This window comes from Homo sapiens, chromosome 1 (genome assembly GCF_000001405.40).
Source record: "Homo sapiens chromosome 1, GRCh38.p14 Primary Assembly".
Classification (NCBI taxonomy): domain Eukaryota; kingdom Metazoa; phylum Chordata; class Mammalia; order Primates; family Hominidae; genus Homo; species Homo sapiens.
Genome location: NC_000001.11, coordinates 156,883,428 through 156,893,712, shown reverse-complemented (window position 1 = coordinate 156,893,712; position 10,285 = coordinate 156,883,428). Strand labels below are relative to the sequence as shown.

The window sequence follows — 10,285 nt, the reverse complement described above, 5'->3', positions numbered from 1 at the left end:
CGGCGGGGAGGCGGGACGCTGCTGATCGCAGGGCCGGGAGGGGCGCCGAGGGGCGGGGGGCAGGAAGGGGGTGGGAACTCGGGCCCTCGCCAAGGCAGGAAGTTTTGACAAGGAAACAGGAGCCGGGGGAGGGGAGATCCAGGCGCCCGGGAGGGAAAACTGTATTCTGGGTGGGATCACAGAGGCCGACTCTGCGCGGCCTGGGCCAGGAGCAGAGGGGGATAAGAAGGGGATGAGGAGGGGAGGTCAGCGCAGGGGCCCAGGGCCCCAGTCCCTCCCTAGCTTCCCCTCGTTGTGCGGCCTGGGTTACTTACCCTCTCGTGCCTCAGCTTTCCTATCTGCAAAGTGGGGTTGTGGGAAGGAATCAATGAGATCGCCTACGTCGGGCACTGTCCAGTGCTGCCCAGCAACCGTGATCTTATTAAGACCCCTCCCGGGCACCGCATCCCACTAGTCTCGGAGAGGCTGACAGGGCGAGGCCCCCCTCTCCTCCTGCCGCCCCTAATCGCACTGCGGAAGGCCGGGCGCGGTGGCTCATGCCTATAATCCCAGCACTTTGGAAGGCCGAGGCCGGCCGATCGTGGAGCCCAGAGTTTGGAGACCAGCCTGGCCAACATGGCGAAATCCTGTCTCTACTAAAAATACAAAAATTAGGGCCGGGCGCCGTGGCTCAGGCCTGTAATCCCAGCACTTTGGGAGGCCAAGGAGGGCGGATCATTTGAGGTCAGGAGTTAGAGACCAGCCTGGCCAACACGGTGAAACTCCGTCTCTACGAAGAGTACAAAAAAAATTGCCGGGCGTGGTGGTGGGCGCCTGTAATCCCAGCTACTGGGGGAGGCTGAGGCAGGAGAATCGCTTGAACCCAGGAGACGAAGGTGGCAGTGAGCCGAGATCGTGCCACTGCACTCCAGCTTGGGCGACAGAGCACAGCTCCGTCAAAAAAAAAAAAAAAAAAAAAACGCGCCAGGTGTAGTGGCGCGCACCTGTGGTCTCGGTTTACTGGGGAGGCTGAAGAGGAAGGATCGCTTGAGCCTAGGAGGTCGAGACTGCAGTGAGCCAAGATCCTGCCACTCCACTCCAGCCTGGGCGACAGAGCGAGACCCTATCTTAAAAAAAAGAAAGAAAAAAAAAAGAAAAGAAAAAAGTCACACCGCGGGAGGGTGTGACCCTGGGAAGCATTCTCCGCCTCTGCCCGCCCCGCCTCCGGCCCACACCCACCAGCGCGTAAGCAACTCCTGAGCCCACCGAGTCCGGTGCGAGCGCCACCTCGCGGCTAGCATCCGCTTCCCAGAGCCCCACAGCCGGGGGACCAGACCTGGGAGCCCTTCCCCGCCTGATAGCAATGAACATTAGCTTTCCCCGCCTGATAGCAATGAACATTAGCTTTCGCCGTGGTCAGCCCTTCAGGCGTATTGCCTCATTGAATCCTTCACTCGAGATTGGTTTCATCATTATGTCCTTTTACATATGGCGAAACCGACGTCCTGAGCGGCTTAGGACACTAATTAGTGGCAGAAGCACTATTTGGTTTGGTTTTGAGACGGAGTCTTGCTCTGTCTCCCACGCACGATCTCAGTTCACTGCAACCTCTGCCTCCCGGGTTCAAGCGATTCTCCCGCCTCAGCCTCCTGAGTAGCTGGGATTACAGGCGCGCGCCCACACGTCAGGCTAATTTTTGTATTTTTAGTAGAGATGGGGTTTCACCATCTTGTCCAGGCTGGTCTCGACTTCCTGGGCTCAGGCGATCCGCCTGCCTCGGCCTCCCAAAGTGTTGGGATTACAGACCTGAGCCACGGCGCCCCGCCTACAAGCAAGATTTGAACCGAGGTCTGTGGTGCGTCCAATTCCAGGGCTCACACTCCACCTCCTCACACAGAGAGCCACAGAGTAAGCTTAGGTGAGGAGAGCAAAGCAGTATCATCCCTCCTGGGAGACTTTTAAAACTCAACTGTATTGAGGTATAATTGACATACAATAAAAAATGTACCTACTTAGAGCATACAATTTGGTGAGCTTTGTTTTTTAGACTTTTTTAAATTGGGGTAAAATATACATACTATGAAATGTATCATTCGAAACATTTTCAAGTGTACAGTTCAGTGGCATTAAGTACATCACTTGCGTGGAAGCATCGGTGTTATTCATCTCCTTTTCCGATGAAAAGGTCAGAACTTTTTCAGCATCCCAAACTGCAACTCTGTACCCATTAAACAGTAACTTCCATTCCTCCTGCCCCCAGCCCCTGGTAACCACTACTCCACTTTCTGTCTCTATAAATTTGTCTGTTTTAGATACCTCAAGTAAGTGAAATCATGAATACTTGTACTTTTGTGTCCGGCTTATTGCACTTAGCATAACACTAGCTCGATGAGTTTTTTGTATGTGTGTGCATCTGTTTAACCACCATCCCAATAAAAAAAAAAGTTTTTAAATTTCCATCTCCTCCAAAGTTTGCCTGCTCCCCTTTGCAGATAATGTCTCCAAATTCCATTTTCACTCCCCACCCCAAACCCTGTGAAATCTCTGATCTGTTAGGCCGGGCGTGGTGGCTCATGCCAGTAATCCCAGCGCTTTGGGAGGCCGAGGCAGGCAGAGGTCGGGAGTTCAAGACCAGTCTGGCCAACATGGTGAAACCCTGTCTCTACCGAAAATACAAAAATTAGCCGGGCATGGTGGCGGGTGCCTGTAATCTCAGCTACTCAGGAGGCTGAGGCAGGAGGATCACTTGAACCTGGGAGGTGAAGGTTGCAGTGAGCCGAGATCGCACTATTGCACTCCAGCCTGGGCGACAGAGTGAGACTCTGTCTCAAAAAAAAAAAAAAAAAAAAGAAAAGAAAGAAAGAAATCCCCCATGTGCTTTCTGTCACTGTAGGTTTATTTGTTCTAGAATTTCCATATAAATGGAACTGCACAATATGTGCTTGCTTTCCTTTAGCTTCTTTCACTTACCACAGAGCTTTTGAAAAGTCCACTCCTTCTCACCATGAGTAGAATTCCACTGTATGGACCAACCTTGTCTTATCCCCACCCCAGCTGATGGGCCCTTGGTCTTTTCTGGTTTGGGACTATTATGAGTGAAACTACTATGGATATTCTTGTACAAGTCTCATGTGGATATATATGTTTTCATTTCTCTTGATTGCTACTTAGGAATGGGATTGCTGGGTCATAACAGTTACAAATCATGTACGTATTCAGTTTCAGATTGTCTAAAATGTATAACTGAGAATACTTTTGTCTGGGAAACTTTGATGTCAGAGACAAGCAAGAGATGTTTAATTGGTGTTTTAAGGGATGAGAGGTGTGTGTGGGTGGGCGACTGGATGGTGCTGTTGGCTTTGGGGAAGAAAAGGAAGAATGAAAGGTTCAAGGAGGCTTTTTAGGACTTCAGTGTCACCAAGAGGCTCCAGCAGAGGGCAGCAGAAACCATAGGACAGCTCAAGGGCCGGCGGCCAAAGACCATGGAGTTGCAGACTATCAGAGGCCAGAGGGACCTTGAAAGTCACCTGATCCAGCACTTTCAAGGAGCAGAGTGGGAGACTGAGGCCTGAAAAGGAAGAGGTGCAGGCGCTCTTCCCTTCCTTTGCCTGGCCCACTTGTTCTCATCCTTCCACACTCAGGCATGAAATGTTTAACACACACATGTCTCTCTCCCTAGGATTCTGAGTTCTTCAAGGACTGAGGCCAGGTCAAAATCATCTTTATGCTCCCAGGGCCTGGCACAAAGTAAGTGCTCAATAAAGTACCACCTTGTGCAATGCTCTTCCAGCTCCCTGCCCCCCAGCTCTGCCTGCTGGGCCCAGCCCTACGTATAGCTAAAAGGATGGACGTCCCCTGAGGCCTGCCAGGAAGGCAGATGCAGGCTCGAGGTTCTCATTCATTCAGCTGTTCAATAGGCACCATTTTGTGTCTGCCTAGTACCCAGGACACAGGAAATGACATTGATGATGACCATGATGATGATAATAGCAACTACTAACTTTGGGGTGGGGGATGCTGGTGCGCCAGCCTCCTACTGATTTAACTTACCTCCTCTTCCTAACTTACTCCTACGGATTACCAGGTACTATTTTAAACCTTTATTTAATAACTTATTTTAGCAATAAATAAGAGTTTCCTGCCCTCAAAGAGCTCACATGTGAATTGGGGAAAGAGTCAATTATTCATTGAATAAAGATTTATTGAGCACCTACTATATGCAGACATTGGGGCTACAGCTATGAACAAAATAGATAAGATTTTCTGCCTAAATATAGAAAGTGGAAAAAAAATGAAGCTAACATTCTGTTAGTGGTAGTGGGGAAGGGATGGTAAAGACGCTAAATCAGGAAAATCATGACACATTAGATGATTAAAAGAACTATCATTTTAAAATAGAGAAATAAAACAGGGAAGAGAATAGGGAGTGCTGGGGGTGCAATTCTTGGAAAGGTGGTTACAGAAGATGTCATTGAAAAGGTAACCTCCAGGTAAAGGAGATGAAGGCAGGAGCCATGGAGATTTCTGGGGGAAGAGCAAGAAACAGCAAGTACAAATGCGCCAGAGTGTGTGCTGTATTGAGAGAATAGCAATAGTAGCTCTGTTTGGAGCGTGGAGCCAAGTGAGTGATGGGGAGCATGGTGGCAGACATTGAAGACAGAAGCATAATGGGGGTCGAATCCTTCAGGCCCTCCTAGGCTGCGATAAGGCGATTTGATTTTGCTTTGCGTGAGATGGAAGCCATTAGAGGATTTCAAGCAGAAGAGAGACATGATCCAACTCAGATTTTAAGAGAATGATTGCTGTTTTGAGAATAGGCTGTGGGGAGCAACAGTGGAAATGGGGAGACCAGTGAAGGGGCCGCAGCACTAATCCGGGTGAGCAGCCTGGTGGCTAGGCCAGTGGAGGTGCTGAGGAGTGGGCGCAGCACATCGCAAGGGCTCACAGAGGGCAGCTGGGATTAGAGTGGGGGTGCCTCTTCCCTCCGGAGTGGGAAGGAGGTTGTGAGGAGTCCTAGGCTCCTGGAAGGGGCCGGAGAGGGTTCCCTGAGGCTGCGGCTGAGGGTGAGCAGGAGGCTGGTCTCAACTCCTGCACACACTCACCCCAGCAGGCCAAATGTTGGCACACACCGTGCATGCCACTCCATGTCTCACCCACAGTCCTGCAGGGATGCTGTAGCCAGAACACACAGACAGGGGGAGGGAGTGGCCTCTGTGCCCACACATGGCACCGGTGGGTGGCTGGCCTGGGTAGGGGCTGCAAGGAGCAGTGAGGTTGTCTCAGGGGAGTCCCACAGGGATAGCACATTCTTGCCGCTCTCCTTTCCTCTCCACCAAGCTTGTCATAAATGCCTGGCAATGGTGCTGATGACAGCGGTGGACCTGGCCCACTCACAGGGGCCATGCCCATCTGATCCCCTCCCTCACCCTCCTGGGTCTTAGTGTGTGTGTGTGTGTGTGTGTGTGTGTGTGTGTAGGGGGTGGTCCATAAAATACAAGCCAGGACCCCCTAGCTGCCCACCTTCCAGCCTGGCCTCCCCCTCCATCTCAGGCTCTCAGGTCCCTGCCCCTGTGTGGTCCCTGGTCTGAATCTGCCTACAGGGTCCCAATCCGTACTCTCCTCTCCCCCTCCCAGCTCTGCCTTTGGCCTGCCCACCAGCCTGCCTGGCACTCAAACTCCCATCCCTCACTACCACCCCCCACTGTAGCTGTAATCACAGCTCAGCTCAGACCTCCCCCTCCTGTGAATAATTGGGGCTGATTTAGGGGCTATCAGGGGAGAGAGGGGGGGCTAATGGAGTTCGTGGGGGGCCGCCTTGGTGATGAGGGAAAGGTTGAGAGGCAATTAGCAGGGCTGACAGCCTCAGGAATCACCTAATGTGCCTGCCCGCAGGAAGGGCTGGTGAGGGGTTTGTGGGGAGGGGGCGGCTTGGACTTGGATTTGAGGAGGGATCCGCCCCTCCCTCAGCAGGAGGTTGAAGGACACAGCAGGAGGGACCTCCAGAAAAAAAAAATGAGGGCAAGGGGCAAGAGCAAGAGGGCTGGATGTGGTGGGGGTACTGGGGAGGGAGGGAGGCTGATGGGATGAGGCAGAAGCTCCTGGTCCCCCATCACCCCCAACACACACACAGCGCCCCAGCTGAATCCTATCCCTCGCTGGGGACCAGCTCCTGATTAATACCAACATTAGCCTTGAGCACTCACCCCTCCTGGCCTCCTTGTCATTAATTACCTCCTCTCCCAGCCCAGCAGAGGGGACGCCAGCTCCTCCAGAGGAAAGAGCCAGAGCTTCTGACCCCCCTTGGCCAGAGAAGCCTCCTCTACTCCTTCCTCCCTGCTTCCAAAGAAAAAGGGAGGAAGAGAGGAAGAACAGAAGTGGAAGGAAGGAAGGAAGGAAGGAAGGGAGGGAGGGAGGGAGGGAGGGAGGGAGGGAGGGAGGGAGGAAGGAAGCGAGGGAGGGAGGGAAGAAAGAAGGGAGAGGGGAGGGAGTTGTGCCTTTCGCCTTTCAGTTCCCAGACCCTGCTGCTCTCCCCTCAGGGTCTTTCTACAGTCTAAGCTCCGTCTCCAGTCAGCCAGGAGCTGGAAACTTCTGGCTGGAAACACCCATAGGGGGACCTCCCTGGAGGGGTTGGACAGCCAGATCCCTGAGCCCTGTCCCCAGCCTACATCCCTTCTGATTTCAGATTAGGAGCACGAATTTGCACAGACCCATGCAGAGAGCTGAGTTTACACAGACCTTCTCACAAGGACTGTCACACACAAACACAAACCCAGATATACTGGGACCAGAATCACCCTGGGTGGGAAGGGGTGACATGCTCCACTGTGAGGTACCCTTCACCATCACACATGAAATCACATCAAGAACATCCCATTCAAAGGAGCACCAGACAGCTGCCTGGAGAGGGCAGGGAAGGTGTTTCAGAGCATCCAAGTGCTGGAGGAGCAGGCAGGAGGGTGGGGTTGGTGGGCCAGCCTGTGTACATGAGCCTGGGGGGAGGGAGTCCTTCCTCGCTCTTGGGCAGCCCTCGTGGACCTCTCTAACTCAATTGGGAAAGCTCTCCCTTTCTCTCTCTCTCCCTCTCTCGCTCACTTTCTCTCTCTTTCTGTCTTTCTGTGTGTCACACACACACACACACACACACACTCAACCTTAAAGTAAAGTGTAGTGAACTGAAATCAAGCCCATTCCAGTCTGCTCCTTGCCCAGGTTGCCAAGCCCTGACTCCCCTCTCAGCCCTGCCTCACTCCTGCCTCCCAGGCCACTCGCCTCCCAAACTGTGTCTCTGCCTATCTTCCTTTCAGCAGACATGGGTAGCCCAGTGCCCACTCCAGGATATGGGTAAAGGGATTTGTGAGAGTTTTCTGAGCCCCTCCCAACACCCCCGTGAGCCCCATTATAAGACCAAGTGAGCCTGGAGACCTGGCGATCGATATTCCTCAAAGATGAAGACGCTAATAACTTTATCCCCTCTTGTCCTCCAACTCTCGCCTACATTAGCTCTGACCACAGGCCCCAGGCAGCTGGGACCTGCCGTGGGCGGGCCTGGAGCTGTGTAACCCCTTCAGATCCAGGTGGGAAGCACGAGGGTAGACTGTAGGAAGGACTTCCTGGCACTCAGGAACAGGAGGCCACAGGGATAAGGGATACAAAGCCTTTAAGGCATGTTTCGCACTCCAGGTCCATACTCTTGGAGACCTGTCTCAGGGTCTACGAGGATTTGTGTCCTCAGAAACACCCTTCAAGGGTACAAAGTTCCCTGTCCAATCCCGGAGGGCTGCCCAGAGGCGGTGAGCTGAGAGAGAAATTCTCACTAGGGAAAATCAGGGAGTAGGAGAAGAGTAAACGAGGGACACGGGGCAGGGGAGGCTGGAGGCTCTTCCTACATCAGGGCCTTCTGGATCAGCGCAGGGACCTGGAGCCCACAGGGTGTCAGAGGGAGGGAGAAGGCCCTTCCTCACCTCACACTCTCTGCAGCCTGGCAAGTCCCCTGCAGCTAGAGGGAGTGGTTGGGATCAGGGAATAAGAGCTTCTCTTCTGCAAGCACTATCCCTTCAAAACATACAACCTGCCTCACCTCCACATACCAGGGCTAGGGCCTCGGCTGGCAGGATAGAGAGGAGGAGGAAGGATAGGGAGGGAAAGAAGGAGGGGGAGAGAGTGTTTTTACATAGCAGCTACTAAGGCCAGGCCCTACAGGGAGAGCTCTCCACATGGGACTTGTTTAAACCTCATAACAATCCTGTGAGGTTATTGCTATTATTATCCTCATTTTGCAGAGGAGGAGACTAAAGTACAGAAAGGTTGAGTAACTTGCCCAATGTCACACAGCTGGTAAGTGGCACAACCAGATTCCAGAATCTAGAGGCTTAAGCACCAGGAAACATAGCCCTTTAAGAAGAGGAATGGGGCCCAGTTCAGTAGGCGGTGGGCTCAAGAGCCTCTCGTCCCCAGGGCTGGACTAGAAGCAGGGCTCATGAAAAGCGCATGGCCTCTGAGGCTCTGCTTCTGTGGCTCTTGGGTTCTGTCCTGTATCTCAGGCTCTCTGCCTTCTTCTCTGTTCCCTGCACATGCAGGGCTGAGTCTCTGCATGGATCTGGGTTGCCTCTCCTCTCTGCCCCTCCTTGCCCCGCCGTGTGGGCTCCTCCTGCAGCTCTGGCCTGTCTTGTCTGTCTTTCCTGCCTCCAGATCTCCATCCTGCCCACCACTCCAGAGCCACTGCTGCTCAAACTTTCCATCTTAGCACGGGAGTCCATCCGCGCTGGGGTGGGAGACAGAGAGAGACAGTCTGGGAGGGTACTGTTGCTTAGAGCAATGGGGCCACCTCACTCCCCAGCATCCCAGGGGTGCCTGAGTCGCCTGGCAGTTCAGTAAGCAGCGGGCTGAAAGTCTGGATTCCTGGGTCCTGGCTCCTACCAGAAGAATCCCCCTCCCCTACCCCTGCTGGGCAGCTTGTCCAACGCTGCTTCAGGAATTTGGCAAGACAGGCTCTCTCCAGCTCGTACTTAGAAAGGCCAGGGCCTCTGTCGTCTGGAATTCTCTCTAGGTTCTGTCTTTGGCCTGGGGATGCAAGGGGCCACAGGCTGGGTCACTCTCCACCAAGGCTGTCCTAGCACTCTGCCTGTCCTTTTCCTGGAAACCTGGACAGATGCTCTGCTCTCCTGTCAGGAAGCCAGCCCCTGTGGGAGCAGGGCAGGAAGGAGGCAGAGGCTCCTTAGGAAGGCTGAGAGCATTGAGGGTGGCTTGCACCCCTTCGTTCTTTAGAGACCCCATCCCAGTGCTGGAGGCCCCTGGGGAGCCCCACTGGTCTCCGCACCACTGAGTCTTTCCTTCTAGAGTAAATGCGGAGGAGCTGGCAGAGGCTTGCTTAGACGGGAGAGTTCCAGCTTCTTTCTTCAGTGCTGGGTGTTCCTGAGGTGCCCACGACCCTTTCTGAGCCCCTGTCTTTTAACCAAGACAGCCCTCTCTGAAAAGGAAGGGGCCTGGGCCAGGTTGGGGGGAACCCAAATGTCCGATCTTTACAGCTTCAGGTTGTTGTCCTGGTCCCAGCCCCCCACGGGGTCCTTGGGGCCCCATTCCATCGATCCCCCAGCAGCTATCCATCTCAGCTGGTGCTCAGCCCCTGGGGTATGTCAGGGCGGGGGCAGCTAATGGACTTGGCACAGCCAGGAGGTAATTAACAGGGAGGGGGCAAGGGCCACAGCGAGGTGGAGGGGGGCACTGTTAATGACAGCGGAATCCAGTGATTGGGGAGGGGGCTCTGTGTCTGTGTATGTGTGTGCATATGTGTGCATGTGTCTGTGTTTGCACATGTGTGTCTAGGCCGTGTGGGGGTAGGCCAGGTTCCCTGTTGATGTGCACACCTATCTGTATATCAGTGAAGGGGAGGGAATGGGGTGCTTTCAGGGGAGGGAAATATGGATGCAAGCCCCCTCCTCACCAGTCAAGACAAAGCCCAGGTCCAGATCACCTGAAGGGATTGGAGTGCCAGGCTCCAGCTCCCGCTCCCAGATCAATGAAAGATATTCAGTTCCTTCTCCCATGCTCTCCCGGAATCTCCCTTCCCTGTCCAAGCCTTATTCCCAGAATCCCTCACCTCACCTGCCCAGCTTTTCCAGCAATACTTCTGGTTATGGTTTAAGAGCCTCTGATGTCCCCACATCTGAGGCCTGATAACCTTGAAAATGGTTCACATGCCCTGGCAGCTCCCTCGTGCTACCTGACCTCCAAACCAGCTCTTTAGTGATGCCCCTATCCTGCTCTTTATGGGGCAAACCTCAGGTCCCCTCCTGTCTCTACCCACAGA

General features: G+C 53.7%; 1 annotated feature.

Annotated features, from left to right (window-relative positions):
* Positions 188-692: an enhancer, noted in NCBI's record as "H3K4me1 hESC enhancer chr1:156862813-156863317 (GRCh37/hg19 assembly coordinates)". NCBI's record gives its function as "activates a minimal SCP1, AML or CMV promoter by ChIP-STARR-seq in naive H9 embryonic stem cells {active_cell/tissue: H9 hESC(naive)}" and the evidence as "EXISTENCE:reporter gene assay evidence [ECO:0000049][PMID:30033119]".